The sequence below is a fragment of the Homo sapiens genome, chromosome 9, assembly GCF_000001405.40.
Source record: "Homo sapiens chromosome 9, GRCh38.p14 Primary Assembly".
NCBI lineage: Eukaryota > Metazoa > Chordata > Mammalia > Primates > Hominidae > Homo > Homo sapiens.
The window spans coordinates 83,372,890-83,389,548 of record NC_000009.12 but is presented as its reverse complement, the minus strand read 5'-3'; the positions used below and the strand labels follow the sequence as shown (position 1 = coordinate 83,389,548).

Sequence of the window (16,659 nt, the reverse complement as noted above, 5' to 3'; positions counted from 1 at the left end):
CACTGTGGGGGTTCCTCTCAAAGCCCTAGTGATGCCCTTGTTCTCATAGATTATTGGGCACATGAAACCCTGTGTGAGCAGAAGAGGCTGGCATTGTCCTCACTGGACTGGGTGGAGCAAGAGAAGGGAAAAGTTACCCTAGGCCTTTCCAGAAGGCTGCTCCCATCTGCTTAGAAGAGAGAATGTCCCTGTGCCCTTTGAACCCAGGGTTTCCCAAAGTCCCTCAAACAATGGCTACATAAAATTTCACTATGGAGAATATCACCCCTGCTCAACCCCACTCACTGTAAAAAGCTATTGAGGCTGGGCTCTGTGGCTCACATCTGTAATCCCAGCACTTTGGGAGGCCTAGATGAATGGACCACTTGAACCCAGGAGTTCAAGACCAGTGCTGGCAACATGGCAAAACTCCACCTCTACAAAAAATACAAAAATTAGCTGGGCATGGTGGCATGTGCCTGTCATCACAGCTACTTGGGAGGCTGAGGTGGGGCAGAATAGCTTGAGCCTGGGAGGTCAAGGCTGCAGTGATCTGTGATGGGGCTACTACACTCCAGCCTGGGTTACAGAGCAAGATCCTGTCTCAAAAAAAAAAAAAAAAAAAAAGCTATTGGTAGGAAGAGTAATTGAGAAATAACTGCTTAATGGGTATAGGGTTTTCTTTTCGAGGGATGAACATGTTTGAAACTTCATATTGATGGTGGTTGCCACCAAAATGTGCATTTTAAAGTGGTTAATTTCGTTATGTGAATTTCACCTCAGTTTTTTTCAACAAAGTTTTGACAGATGAAAGGTTTAAGTCACTTCAGAAGCAGCTCCTTGGGCACAACTAAACTTGAAAGCCCCTGTTTTATTCTTGCTCCTGGAGACACCTACCCTTTTTGGTATCTGTTGGTGGGGAAGAGTGAGCAGGAGTCTTACCTTTTGAGCTGGTATAGCAGCCTAGGTGTGTTCAGTGTAGCATATGCCAGAACCACGTGATGTGTGCCCTTCACATCCAAATGACCCCTGGGGATCTCCACCCCTGGCTCATGGGGTGGGTCCCAGCCATGGGCTCAGAGTTCCCAGCCATATGCTCAGAGGCTCAGTACACACTTGGGTCTCTGCTTCTTACTAGCAGGATAGTGTGTGAAGGGGTCACCTGGAGGTAGCCTGGAAGTGGGGATAGGACCCCTCTGCCTTCTTTAATTTGCTCTCCTCCTCCTCAATGTCCCTGATCTTCCTGTCTCCTCTTTCCACCCCCACACCTCACTTGGCTCTTAGTTTAGTGTTCACTGACCCAATACCATGAGGAGAGGCTCACAGAGTGTATTTCTGTAAATAAGAGGATATTTAAGGAATAGATTAGATTTGCATCTGATACATAGAGAATCTTATTTTGCTCTTGGAGTCCTAGGGACCCAAGTTTATATGAAGGGATGCAATGAAGTATTACAGCTCAGAAGGATTTTGGTTTCCTGTAGTACTCCCAGTAACCTTTGGATGGTCCAGGCATTTACCTGAGTGAGACGAAGGTGGCAGGGCAGTGGTGGGGATGTGGGGCTGACATGACGTCAGGGATGGGCGTGTGTGGTGTTTACTGAGTAACACTGGTTCCCAGACCTGGCCCTGCAAGAAAATCACCTTAGATGTTTGCGTAGTGTGAACCCTATTCCAGACCTCTTAAATCAGAATCCATGGGGTTAGGGCCAGCAACATGCACTTAGCCTATTCCTAATCTAATTTTGATGCAGCCAAGCCAGCTTTGGTCTGGGGACCATGATATAAAGACATTCATAGCCATAACTTTTTATAGCCTGTGAAGATATTCCACTCGTATAAGAGGGAAAGAAGCTCAAAGAAGTTGTTACTTGTCCCAGGTTTCACAGTTAATAAGTGGTAGAGTGAGTGTTTGAGTTTAGGATTATACATCAAAGTCCCTGTGGACCAAATAAACTCTGGACTCTATTAGTCCTCTAGTCACCACTGCAAACAGGTTATTTTGTGCAAAATTCAATTCTAAATGATAAATGGCCAGCCTGCAGACGTAATTCTAGCTACTATTTAGTTGAGCATCTATCATGTACCATGAGTGTTCTTCATTATAGCCTCGTCTTGCTGAAAAGCCTTTAAGGAAGGGGGAAACTAAGGCCCAGAGAGGGTCAGTGGCTTCCATAAGGCAAGACATTAAGGAACAACTGGTGTCACAAAATAACAATAGTATTGGATTATAACCCATAGAATGAAATAAATATCCATGAGTCCATCCTAATCTAAATAATTAATTAAACAAAAAATAAAGGGAAAACTTGGGTCAGCTCTTCCATACAGAAGAATTTTAATTAATAAATGTAGAAGGAATGACGGAAATAGAAAATCAGCATACACAATAATAATTATTGCAGGCAAGAGCTAAAATTAGTGTGCAAAAGTTTAAGGAGAAACAGGAAATTTGCAAAGTAACCCCTCCTTTCCAAGGCATTTTTTTTATTACAAAGGGAAAAATAATAACTCTATAGTGGAGAAACATGACAGATAGCACTTTAACCAAGATACCAAGATTAACATCACCAGTAAAAACACATGTTAACATCAGGTACCTCCTGATACCATGCACTGAGAAGTACACATCATCTCTGTGGCATTCTTCCCAATAATGCATAACCTTAATCAAATATTGAGAAAACATCAGGCAAATTCAATGTGAGGAACATTCTCCAAAATAACTGACCTTCAAAAGTGTGAGGTCATGAAAGACAAGGACAGACTGGATTCACAGTCAGAGATTGGAGAGACACGTCAACTCAAGGCAATGTGGGATCCTGAAACATAGACAAGTATAGTAGTGGGAAAACTGGGTGAACACAGAAAGTCTGTAGTTTAGTTAATGCTATGGTAGAATAGCATTAACTAAATTGGCTAATATTGGCTTCTCATTTTGATAGTTGTACTGTGATTACACAGGATGCTAACATTAGGGGAAGATGAGTGAAGGTTATACTTTATCATTTTTGCAACTTTTTTCATATGTCTAAAATTATTAAAATTTTAAACTAAAGTTATAAAAGAGAAGTCTTTAGGTTGTTTATTGTTCTTTATATTTTGACTCTATTTAACGTAACTTTTAATGCCCAGACTTGGGTAGTAGAGTAAAGGAAAGGATGGGGGCCACCCTCAAAACAAAACTGTCTTATCTCATGTAGCCACTAAATTGCTCAGAGGTGTTTCTGAATACTTCTCTCTGCATTATACAGCTGTTATAGCCTTTTGATTTTGAGGATACGATGTGAGTGTAGCTTTCACTTGGGTTGCAGGGTAGTTGCTGTGCACAACTGCAAGGACTTTGGACTCAGAAAGATATGAATTAAAAATCCCATCTCTCCTGATTAGTAAGCTGTGTGATCTTGACCAAGCTATGCAGCCTATCTGAGTCTCTGTCCTGATGGATAAAGCAAATAACAATACCAACCTGTAGGGTTGATATGAGAATGAAAGATAAGGTATATCAATGCTTAGCACATGGTACACCTTGAGTATCTGGTATGTGTTATTTTCACTCTTGGTTGTTATTATTATTCTTACAATTATTATGCATTGGCTAGGTCCAGGTGAGACATGAGGAAACACACTCATGATTAGTACCTCTAAAACCTAGAAATGTTTATAAGAACATCTTTTAAAGGCAGGGGGCACTACTATTAAGATCATTGGAGAGAGAAGGCGGAAAATGGGCCTTGGATAATTAGAAAAATGGACTCAAAGACATAAACAGAGACATGCTGGTATGGACATTTTAAACAGATATTAATTGACCAACATTTTTTTTTTTCACCAGCTCCTGTATTTTTCTGAATGGCAAGTAAAACTGATGAATTATTTGGATAGAAAGCTAATTAAATGAGAAAATCAAGTGAGTTAGAGAAGCTGAAGTGAAAGTTACCTTTGCCTTGGGGGCTGGTGGTTTGCCTACAACTCGATTTACAGTAAACCATTGTTGAATATTAAATATTTAGCACGATTGCATTTGGAACACCATATGTTTGGCAAGATGTCTCATGCCCCAGATGCTCTGGAAATGGGAAACACTGAGTCAGGAAATGATGACTATCTTTTGCTATTTTGATGTCCAGGGCCCAGCATTTCCATTATTATTTTTTAATTTGATATAGGGAAGGATAGGTTGAATACTGGCCAGTAAAAAATCTCCTCAGTTTCTACAACATTCATCTTCTAAGAAACTTGTATAATCTTAGTTGCCTAAGATTAGGGAAAAAGTGGGTGGTATTCTCTCCATTTTACTGATAGAGAAAACTGGGACAATAAGTCTAGAAGTAATTCTAGAAGAAGGTAGTACTTGGCTTAAGTTTAGATTTTTTTTTTTTTACTCCAGTATATTCTTTTTACCACTTCTGCTCAGGTATTTGGGTAACTTCCCTTTGGAAAGATGAAGTTTTGAAATAATTAGCTGGATTTCATAGCTCTAGTTTCCATAGCTATGGTTTTAGATGTCCATTGTCCTGGGTTTTCCCCTTATGTTCTTCTACCCTTTTTATTTCCCCAAATCCAGCTAAGGAAGTCTCCCCTCACCCCATGCCTTAGAGCTGAGTGCCCCAGCTCCCAGCTCAGCCAGAGGAAGAATTACACTAGGACTGGGTTGTAGGATGCTGCTTTATGGTCTGGAGGGAGGTAGTACTAAATGCTTTTGGTTTTAACTTTGGAATTGCTAATTATCTGTTTAACCCATTTCCATCAGTGTTGTTGACTTTTCTGATTTTGACTCACACCCAAATACACGGGATTTACTTTGGAAATCCACACTTTTGGGGTACACTCCTCAAGTGCCCAATGATAGGCCATTGTGTCTTAATGTCTACCAGATGCTAGAGGATTTAATAGGTTTTCTGATAGGAGGATGAGCTGGAAATCATGGATGCAAGGTCATGTTCAGTCCTGATCCCCCACCGTCACAACCCTAATATAATTACAGCCCCAAGGCTTTTATGTTGGTAGCCAGAAGGAACTAGAGAGCCTATCAGTAAGTTTTATTAATAACAGGAAAAGACCTTGTCTATGTTAGAGCAATTTGCTTTTTCTAGAGGCACCTTGGGGAGGACGTGGAATGGAATAAAAGCTGGCCCAGTGATTGGAGGTTTCACTCTGGGGATGGTGCCAGGAAGCCAGACAGCATTATGTCCCACCAGCTGCTCCTGCCATTGAGAGGCTGCTTCCTGCTTCTCGGGATAATTACTTCACAGCTGCTCATCACTAGGAGCAAGAGTGGTACCTAAGATTTAGGGCAGCCCTGCCCTGAAGAAAAGGGTTGTGCTGCTGCCTCAAGTCACTGATCACAAATTTGTCTGCTCAATGAGTCCTCTTTTGTTTACGTTTCAAAAGGTATTAAAGATCAAGACTTCTTGGGTGTCTGTGTGTGTGTGTCAGGGGCAGACAGGTACAAGTAACTTGGCTTTGTGGGAAAGGACTTTGACACTCAGGTTAAAAGGAAGACAGTACTATCGTGATAACTTGAAAATGGAATATATTGTCAGTGCTTCAATTGTGGCTCAAGGTATGAACACTGATGCATTTGGGGAAATTGTCAGATTGCTTCAGCAGAAAGCAGTACTTGGTCTTTAACTAAAAGGATGGCTCATAATTGACTCTGTTTACATCTGATATCCTCTCCTGAGGAGGGAAATGGATGCTTGATAAAATGTTGCCATCTAGAAGTCACTTAGCCAACGGAGATGTGCACATTATAGTGGAAGGGGAGGGGCAAACACATGACCTGGTTATCTCATTTGAGCCAGAAGGCAGGGGCTGGGAAAATGCCATTTTATCCTTGTTTGAGTCAGGAAAAATCAGGAAGCTATCCAAGGTAAGAAGTTTTTCCTGTGTTGGTGGTGGGACAGCCTGGGTAGAAATCAGTTAGGGAAACAGGTTTAAATGTGGTGGTTGAAGAGTAAAGTACTCACTGGAGGCTTCCAGCAGGCAAGAACAGCAGGGCTGACTAGAGACCAGCAGGTTTGGAAGTTTCAAATTAGTCTTAAAAATATCTTTAAGTCTAACTGGGAAGACTAGAATGTGGCTATGATGTATGACTTGGAGAAATAAAAACAGTATAGGTTAGAAAATGACTATTTTATTTCCTTCAAGGTTCAGTAGTAGTTGTCTGTTACATGTGTGGAGGTTAATGATGAGGATCTAGTAGTTCTCATTATCTATTGCTGTTTAATGAGCCTTCCCAAAAGTTTGTGCCTCAAAACAACATAATTTTATTATATCACAGCATTTTGTGGCTCAGGGATTTGAGCAGGGCTCAGCTGGGAGATTCTTCTGCCCCACATGGTGTTGACTGGATCACTCAGCGGTGTTTAGCTAGCAGCTAGTCCGATCTGGAGGATCCAAGACATCTTCATCCATATGCCTGGTGCCTTGATGCAGAGGGCTGGAAGGTAGGGCTCAGGGGTCCTCTCCCTCTGATGTAGTTTCAGGCCCTTTCCAGATGACCTCTCCAGCAGGGTGTTTGTACTTCTTACACGGCTGCTTAGAGCTCCAAGTATAGGTGGAGCCACTTACCAAATAAGTTGTACAGGAAAGAGAACAGGTTTTGGGGGAAAAGTGATAAGTTCTGAACGTTTTGAGTTGGGATGCATGAGAGAAGTTGAGGTGGAGATGTTTAGTGTATAGATGACAATATAGGTCTGAAGATTAAAGAGGAGGTTTGGGCCACAGATGGGGATTTGGGAGCCAGTGAAGTCTTTCATGACTTCAAAGCCCTGGGAAGAGATTCAAAACCAGCAAAGGAGATGGACAAAGATCAGACAGAGCAGAAAGAAAAGAATGTGCAGAGAGAAACATTCTGGGAGCAAGGATAGGTATAGACTCAATAAGAGGGAGTGAGCTGCAGTTCCAAGCAGGGAGGCAGGATCAAAGGACTGAGTCAGGAAATGATGACTATCTTTTGCTATTTTAGGAAATTGTTCAGGTGCTAAAAGCTTTGGCATCATGAAGACCAGGGCAAATCCTATCTCTGCCACCTGCTGGTTGTACCACTTTGAGCAGGTTCCTTACACCCTCTGTGTCTCAATTTCTTCATCTATTAAATAAGGATACTAATACTACTTATGCAATATAATTTTTTTAAATGAATTAACCATACTATCAATTTATGTAACTGGTCTTTTTACTCTTCCATGCTTTAAAGATGTTTAAAAGAGCTAAGTCACATGATTACCTATGTAACAATCCTGCACATTCTGCACATGTACCCTTGAACTTAAAATAAAAGTTGGAAATTTTAAAAAAGGCCCATGAATCTAGAGGCTAGCTGATCTTTGACTTTAGAACAATTTGGTGGCAATGTTGTTAAATTTATGTGGCATGACAGCAAATGCTACATGGTGGTAAATTCCACTGTAACAAGCTTGAAAAAAATTCCATAATTTCATTTCATAGATGATTGCATTTTAGTTACTAGCGTACTTTAAAATAAATAGTAATACATGTTTTTTTTTTACATCCTATGGCATTTTCAAACTATCATTTTTTTTTTGAGTGTCTATTAAAGATTTCTTGGGAGTAGGGACTGGCATGCAAGGGTCAGGATGGCTTTCCAACTGTTTTTGTAAATAAGGTTTTATTGGAACTCAGCTAATTCTGTTCATTTACATATTGTCTGCAGCTGCTTTCATGCTCCAATAGCAGGGTTGAGTAGTTGTGAAAGAGATCCATGTAGATCACAAAGCTTAAAATATTTACTATCTGGTCCTTTACAAAAAATAAAAATTTCCAAAATAGGGAAGGGAATGGAGGTTGCTTAATGGATGAAGGGACACAAATGCTTTTTTTTAAAGACTTCCTGGCCCCTCCCCTGATTTGCGCAGTGTTTCTTCTTCTGGCTGTTATCTCTCTTTTGCCCATCCCTGAGACCCTAGAATACAAAAACATCATGGCTAAAGGAGTGGAAAACACTACAGTGAAACAATGAAGATTTTCTTTTTTCTTTCTTTCTTTTCTTTTTTTTTTGCACTCTGCCACCCAGACTGGAGTGCAGTGGCAGGATCTAGGCTCACTGCAACCTCTGCCTCCCGGGTTCAAGCAATTCTCCTGCCTCAGCCTCCTGAGTAGCTGGGAATACAGGCGTGTGCCACCACACCCGGCTAATTTTTTGTATCTTTAGTAGAGACAGGGTTTCACCCTGTTAGCCAGGACAGTCTCGATCTCCTGACCTCAGGTGATCTGCCCACCTTGGCCTCCGAAAGTGCTGGGATTATAGGCATGAACCACTGTGCCCAGCGGATTTTCTTACATAGATTGATTTCCAAATGGAAAAACATTTTTGAGCGTTCGTGATCTACAGGTTTGTTGATGTTGTTGTTGCTGTTGTGTCATAGATCTTCTTGAAACTGGAATGGAAACCATGATTATTGGCAGCTAAATAACTAGGCCTCGCTATAGCCTTATAATCTGGAACACTGATAAGGCTACATTCATCAGATGGCATTCTTTTTTCCCCAGAAGAGGCCAGAGGGGCTAGGAATGACATAAATTGGCTGCATGATAACACAGAGACTAAGTTACTCTGGGGCTTTGTCTAGGTGGATGCAAGAAATCAGGCCATCTTTTTAGGGTCGTCATGGGAATTGCTCAAATTTTGGATCTGGTTACTATTGAGGTGAAAAACAATCTCTTGTCTGGGGAAGTGCATTCATTCTTTTTAAAAGCCCCCTGGGTTATTTAACATATTTCTCTGGGCTACAAATTACTCTGGCTTAGGGTACCAAGGGCTTTGAGAAAGTAAACAGAGAAGTGCGTAATTTATTCTGTAATCATACACTGAATCGATTTCAACAGAAGCCAAACATTTGAAGATAACTAAGTGCTATATTGTTTACTTTTAGATGCAATTTTTTTTGTCTTAGCAGTGGCCAAATTAAAAATCAATCTTCTTAGTCACAAAGTACCACCCCATACCCACCTTCTTTTTCCCCAACCAAGCCAAAATGAGAATATATGAAAGATATGCACCATTTGTATGATAAGGTAGAGGAAAATGATCTCTCAGGGCTAAGTGCAGTTGTGCCTCGCAAAATTAAAAAGAAAGAAACATTCATTGGCAATATCCTCATCCTTCAGGTTCATAGACTGTGGACTGTTAGAACAAGGAAACTCAGGAGTTCTGGAATCGGCCTCCCACCATCTCCACCAAGATCACAGATAAGGAAACCAAAACATAGGGTTAGGAATCTCTCTGCTTTTTCACCCCCTTTGTGTAGCTCATCTTCTTTCTCTTGAAACTGCTCTCAACCAAAATAAATTTGTTCTAAGAAAAGTCTTGAAATGTGGTCAGGTAGATTTCAACAATTCTGCAAACTGGGATCTTTCACAGGGGCTTTGCAGGTTTCCAGGGTTTAAGCTTAAGGCAAAGGGAATAAATACCCAGGGAAATGATTTTAAACACCATGGAAGACAGCTTTTAGTGGAGAGTTAGGGAGGCTGTTTTAGGTCTGGTTTGAAGAAGCAGACCTTGAGATAAAAATTTCTGTATAAGTGATTTGTTAGGAAGTGTTTCCAGGAAAAGACTTGTAGGGGAGTAGAGGATTACAGGAGGGAGGCGAAGGAGGCCAAGCAAGTGTGTAATGCTGGGCAAAGTCATGTAGAGGGTATTTTGGGCTCAATCTCATAGGGGAGTTCTGGAATCAGTGTAGGCCATGCCTTAGAGTTGTGCCATCCAAGGGGTGAGGGAGCAGAGGTATTTATACTACCACATCTGATAGTCATTAGTTAAGAGCTACCCTGGTTTGTGGAGGGTGAGGTGGGGTAGGAAGTTTCAATTCTCTACCCTGTGGTGGACTCCAGTAAACTGAGGGCATCCTTCCTAAAAAGCGTCAGGCTGCTGGGGCTTGACAGTATCTGCTGCAGATGCCTTCCTGGTACCTTCAAATCATACTAAGGGGTGAATCCACTGGTTCATCTTACTCCCCTAGTTCATTTTGTAGAATCAATGATGGGGTCTTAGCTTTCTTATAGCCTTTGGAAATTTTATTCTAAATGAGAGTTGAGGAAAAGAAGATTTCAGCTACAGTAAATTAGCCACAAATTCAGATATTTTGTTACCAGGTTCTCCTTTTTGCCTTTCTTAGGGAAACTCAGTTTCCAGTAAGGAAAAAGACTTAAAAATATCAGAACAGCATATATTCCAAGTAGCAATCAAAAGGAAAATAGCAATGCAATAAATGTTCTAAGACTTATATCTAATTACCAAGCATGCCACATCATGGTGGTTATTTTTTCCCTCAAGTGTAATCCATCTGTACCTCCAATAATAGCAGGAGTTATTGGTGTAGTCCAGACTCCACTTCACTGGCCAACTCATAACTCTAATTGGAAGAATGAGAAAAGAGAGGAGAGAGAGGAAGGGGATGAGGAGAGAGGCAAAGGGCTAACAGCTGGTATTGCAATTGTATAGATAATTAATCTCCTCATGTTGAACAGAAGGGAGAGTGAGATGAGGAGTCAGGGAGAAAGAGAAGGACAAAGTCAGGCTGGGCGTGGTGGCTCACACAGTTAATCACAGCACTTTGAGAGGCTGAGGCAGGTGGATCACTTGAGGTCAGGAGTTTGAGACCAGCCTGGCCTACATAGTGAAACCCCATCTGTACTAAAATATATATATATTTATATAAAATTTATATATATAGTGTATATATATTTATATAAAATTTATATATAGTATATATATTTATATAAAATTTATATATAGTATATATATAAATTATACATATATAATATATATTATATATAATATAAATTATATATTATATATAATATAAAGTATATATATTATATATAATATAAAGTATACATATTATATATAATATATAAATTATATATATAATATAAATTATACATATTATATATAATATATAAATTATATATATAAATTATGTATAATATATATAAATTTTATATGTATATTGTATATATAAATTTTATATGTATATTTTATATATATAAATTTTATATGTATATTATATATATAAATTTTATATGTATATTATATATATAAATTTTATATGTATATTATATATATAAATTTTATATGTATATTATATATATATATAAATTAGCCGGGCATGGTGGCTTGCACCTGTAGTCCCAGATACTCTGGAGGCTGAGGCGGGAGAATTGCTTGAACCCAGGAGGTGGAGGCTGCAGTGAGCTGAAGGCTGCTGTGAGCTGAGATTGTGCCACTGCACTCCAGCCTGGGTGACAGAGCAAGACTCTGTCTCAAAAAAAACAAAAAAAACAAAAAAGAAGGACACAGTTAGACTCATGGAAACTGCCATGGTACCAAGTGAGAAGTCTCTTTCATGGAGCCTAAAGATGGTAACAGCCAGTGCTTATTGAGCCTTCACGATGCACCAAGCTCTGTTTTAAGGCCTTCTTCATGAATTAACCCATTTAAACTTCTCCATGATGCTGTAAGTGAGGAAACCAGGGAACTCGCTCTAAGTCCACAGCTTGTCAGTGTTAGGGCTGGGATTTGAATCTAGGCCTGCTGGCTCCTAGGTCTGACCACAATGTCAACCCTGTGTGCTCAGCTGGGTTTGATATCTGCCTATCATGTATGAACTCATTCAGGCTAATTTACATGAAATCTACTTTCATCCTCTGAGTAGACATTAGCCGTCTTTTTTTAAAAAGTAGATTTTTAATTATTTGTGTAATGTACTGTGTTAGGCTGTTCCTGCATTGCTATGAAGAAATACCTGAGACTGGGTAATTTATAAGAAAACAGGTTTAGTTGGCTCATGGTTCTGAAGGCTGTACAGGAACCATGGTGCCAGCATCTGCTTCTGGGGAGGCATCAGGGAGCTTACAGTCATGGTGGACAGCAAAGGGCAAGCAGACATCTCACACAGTGGGAGCAGGAGCAGGAGAGAGGAGGAAGGTGCCACACACTTTTACATGACCAGATCTTGCAAGAACTCACTATCACAAGGACAGCACCAAGAGGAAGGTGCTAAACCATTAATGAGAAATCTGCTCCTGTGATCCAATCACTCCCCATCAGGCCCCACCTCCAACATTGGGGATTACGGTTCAACATGAGGTTTGGTTGGGGACACACATCCAAACTGTATCTTGCACCAGTACATGTAAAAAATTAAAGTTAAAACATCACGGAAAATACTGAAGTCATGGTTTTCTTTGGTTAACACTCCTAAATGTGTGTTTCCCTCTCCTATTATCCTTCCATTAGTCTCATTTTACTGTGTATCATTTCGGATCTTTACAAATATATTTAGATGCTTACATATATATTTTTTGAATGTATGATAATGTTTATATTTTTTATTTTGAAAGAAAACATATTAAAGATATGGTAAAGTAGTTCAAAGCCTCCCAAACTTTCCCAATTTCTGGCTGTCTCTTAGTATCTTAGTGATTATTTCATGGCCTCCATAGGCCAGGAGAATACCTAACAGTTTCATCTAATAAGAGTTAGATCCAAGCAAGTAGTTATGTCCTAAAATTTTAGTAGTTATGTAAGACATTATACATATAAATTGCAGAAAAAATAGTATTTTCATTTCATTCTTAAACAACCACAATTTCTTAATAACGGGTGCCGGTTGGGCACCCCTAGGATCATATTGGACACACTACCATGCTCATTGCTTGTTGCACACCTATTTCTATGTGGTACTTGCCTATTATCACAGCAACTGCTAGAAACCAAGCTTTGCAAAATATATGTATATATTTTATCAAATATACATATTTGATACCATATATACATATAATATCAAAAGGAATATAGCACAGCCAGGTGTGGTGGCTCATGCCTGTAATCCTAGCACTTTGGGAGACCAAGGTGGGAGGATTGCTTGAGCCCAGGCTTTTGAGACAAGCCTGGGCAACATAGAAAGCCCTGCCAAAAAAAAAAAAAAAAGGAATATAGCACAATCTAATGTTGGAACTGTGTACTCCTTTGAGTTCATAATTCACATGGCGCTGACTGATGTCTACTGTGGCTGTGTTTCTCTGGGGTGACTTAGTGCACAATTTGAGAACTGATTGCAGGTATAATGATAAATTTTTCAGTTCACTTTTTGTATCCCACAATATGCCTTAGAGATCTGTCCATGTTACACATAAAGATCTCCCTCATAGAAAACACTGCTGCAGAATCATCCAGAATATGAACAGATCACAGTCTATTTACCCATTTTCCTGATGATGGCCATTAATGTTATTTCTAATATTTTGTAATTTTATATAATATTGCAGTGAAGATTCTTGTTGGGTACCTCTTTGTCCACATGGGTAAGTTGGAGAATAAAGAACTTACTGGGCCATGGACCTGTCAGGTGGTTTTTTTTTTTAACTTTTTTTTTTTTTTTTAAACAGAATCTTGCTCTTGTGGCCCAGGCTGGAGTGCAATGGCGCCATCTTGGCTCACTGCAACCTTTGCCTCCTGGGTTCAAGCGATTCTCCTGTCTCAGCCTCCCGAGAAGCTGGGATTACAGGCACCTGCCACCACGCCAGGCTAATTTTTGTATTTTTAGTAGAGATGGGGTTTCACCATGTTGGCCAGGCTGGTCTCGAACTCCTGACCTCAGGCGGTCCACCCACCTTGGCCTCCCAAAATGTTGGGATTACAGGTGTGAGCCACTGCGCCCGGTCTTTTTTAACTTTTAAGTTAGGGGTACATGTGCAGGTTTGTTATATAGGTAAACTTTTGTCATAGGGGTTTGTTGTACAGATTATTTCATCACACAGGTATTAAGCCTAGTTCCCATTAGTTATTTTGCCTGATCCTGTCCCTCCTCCCACCCTCCACCCTCTGATAGGCCCCAGTGTGTGTTGTTCCCCTCTATGTGCCCATGTATTCTCATCATTAGCTCCCATTTATAAGTGAGAACATGTGGTATTGGTATTTGGTTTTCTGTTTCTGTGTTAGCAGTTTAATGAATACTAACAAGTTGAACTTGGCCCTCTTTGAAGAAATGATTTCCTGTAATTCCTTGAAACATTATTGCTGGCTTATTTTTCCTAGGACTGCATACCTCATGACTCTCCCTTTGGGGAAGAATAGCTGTTCTGGAAAAGTGTGTAGAGATCACCTTGTAGAAGTGGGTAACTGAGATACACCAGGCCTGAAAGGCAAATGTAGGGTGTGGTTAGGCTAAGAGGAAAAGGATGATAGAAACTGATCTGAAACTGCAAGGTGTGTTTCTTAGGACAATAAGGAGGCCAGTTTATTTAGAGTAAATAACTTATTTAGGACACAGATGGCAAATACCTTTCAGGCATGCCTTACATGTTCCCTGTCTCCTCCGTGGCAGACATCGCCAATCTATAGTGGCATGGCAGACATAGCCAATCCATCATGGCACTCATTCTCTCAGAGCCTGCACCTGGTTTTGGAATCCTCCTCACAGCCCTGGTGTGGGCACACAAAATGAAACTGACTTGTCACCCCTGGAGTCAGAGACAAGTTGGAGAAGCAGGATCAAGTTAGGCAAGAAAGGGCCGAGGAGTTGAAAGAATGCCAAACAAGGAGAATTTGGAAAACATATTTATATTTCAGACTTTATTAGCAAAATAACTGGTGATTCTCCTCTGCAAAACAATTGCAGTAAGTATTGATATTTTGCTGCTATTTGTTTTCTTACCTTAGTTCTAAATGATCCTATTTATTTATTTCTAGAAAAGTAATTTAACCACCAGGGGCCTCTTTTATTCTTCTTCTCCATGAAGCACATATATTGAAAGATGCGGTCTACCAATTAAACTGTACCTATTAAATAATAAGAACTGCATCGGCCAACAATCATTTTATTGAGTATTTTCACATTTCATGCACTGTGTATATTACATTTGTTAACTTTTTAAATCCTCGCAATGGCCCTAAGAGGTGGATGTGATTACTGTTCCCATTTTATAGTCGAGGAAACTGAGACACAGAGAGATTAAGCATCTTGTACAAGGTTTATAACTGGTAAGTGGTATAATCAATGTGTCTTCCACTGTTCAGTTATAGCTATATAACTTCTAATTAGAAGGCAATAACGAGGGTCCTCAAATGAGTTGATATAATTTTAGCCAGAAGCAAAAAGACTTGTTTTTTCAGTTTGTCTGTGCAACCTGGTCGGGGTAAATATATGTTTTTTTGTGTGTGTGACTTTCCATAATGTTGAAACTCTTATAAGACTCCCATTATTGTTTTTGAAGACTGCAGAGATTTGACACCCTCAGTGGTTTCTAGATTAGAAACCACTAATTTGACGATTCAGTTTTTCAGCTCCTGAGAAAGTAGGGAGTGCTCACCGAGAAGAATATGCATTTTAGAGCAAATGATCAGCCAGGAGGCCATACAGTTGAGAGGTTAAGGGCCCATGCACCAGAATCCTGCTGCATGGTTGGCTTCACTGTTTATCAGCAGAGTGACCTTAGTCAAGCTGTTTAACATCCTGAGCCCCAGGCTTCTTATTTGTAAGTGGAGTGGTAGGGAGGACTACATAAGATAGCACATGGAAATGTTTGAACGGCACTTGGCGTTTAGTAAGCGCTCAGCAAATGCCAGCTCTTATTATGGTTATGCATTTACATCAAAGAATATGGATAACACAGGACCTGAGGCTTACTGGATAACACAAAGGAGATAGAGTGAGGTGCAAGAGCTCAATGGACGGTAAATTTGCTCTTCTGATTTCCTCTCCGGCATCAAGCAGGTGGGATGCCTCCAGAAGGAGAGCTCCCTGACCTCAGGATGGGTACCCCAGGACACCCCCTGTATCATCTCTAAACTACAGGTGTATAAAGTGACTCTAAGTGACATTCCCTGAGCAGCTTCAGGGACCTCATGGTTAGTGATCTCAAAAGCTGCCCAGCTCTCAGCATGTCGAAGTGATCTTTGTATGTGCTGTAGAGAGGGCCAGCCACTGGGACCAGCGTGGTGCCTACTTCAAATGCCTGTCAGTAACATGGTTCTGAACTCCCCCAGTCTTTTGGCTTCTTTATTTTGTGATAGAGCTGATTTTTCTTCTTGATGACCTCAGGCCTCTGAAAATGAGATATTTAAGATCATTTACTCCTCCCTACTGTAAAGGAAGAATTGCCTCTGCATATGATAGGGCTAATGCTGGCTTGGCCCAATATTCCTCTTAAGGGAATTTGTCCCGGAAGCAGGACTGGATGCTGATGCTGCCTTGGACTGTGATTCTTTGAGGTCGTGGATGTCAAATGCTAAAAGTCTTTAGCCATATGCGGCTTTCACAGAACCATGCAGCTCAAAGAATCACCTAGGAGTCAATTAGGGGTACTAGAACATCCCATTTGAGAGCATATTCTCTCTCTTGTCCTTCTCTCCTAGCAACTGTCTGACTCACATATTACTTGGAAAATGTTAACTCTGTAATTTATATCCTTGTCTGCGCTATGATTATTGCCAAGTTGTTTATGTTGGTCTTCAGAGTGTGGAATTCTGGAGAGTATCTATGGAAACCGAGGCTGTACTTTGGAATTCCTTTTAGTTATTAGGTATTCGTTGTATGGTCCAGCAATTTGACCCCTGATCTCTGCTTTTTTTTTTTTCCTCCCTAGCACTGGCTTGAACCTAACAAGTCCATCTTCAAGCAAATGAAAAGTAAGTGTCAATCTGTGACTTTA

General features: G+C 40.3%; 1 protein-coding gene across 9 annotated transcripts in view; it reads left to right on the top strand.

Annotated features, from left to right (window-relative positions):
- The window catches only part of FRMD3 (FERM domain containing 3), a 342,803-nt gene that overhangs the window by 196,246 nt on the left and 129,898 nt on the right, over nucleotides 1–16,659 (top strand). For all 9 annotated transcript variants that reach the window (NM_001244959.2, XM_024447487.2, XM_047423155.1 and 6 more), the window contains one exon: nucleotides 16,594–16,636. In NM_001244959.2, coding sequence (NP_001231888.1) covers nucleotides 16,594–16,636 — 43 coding nt within the window. The remainder of the gene's footprint in view (nucleotides 1–16,593; nucleotides 16,637–16,659) is intronic.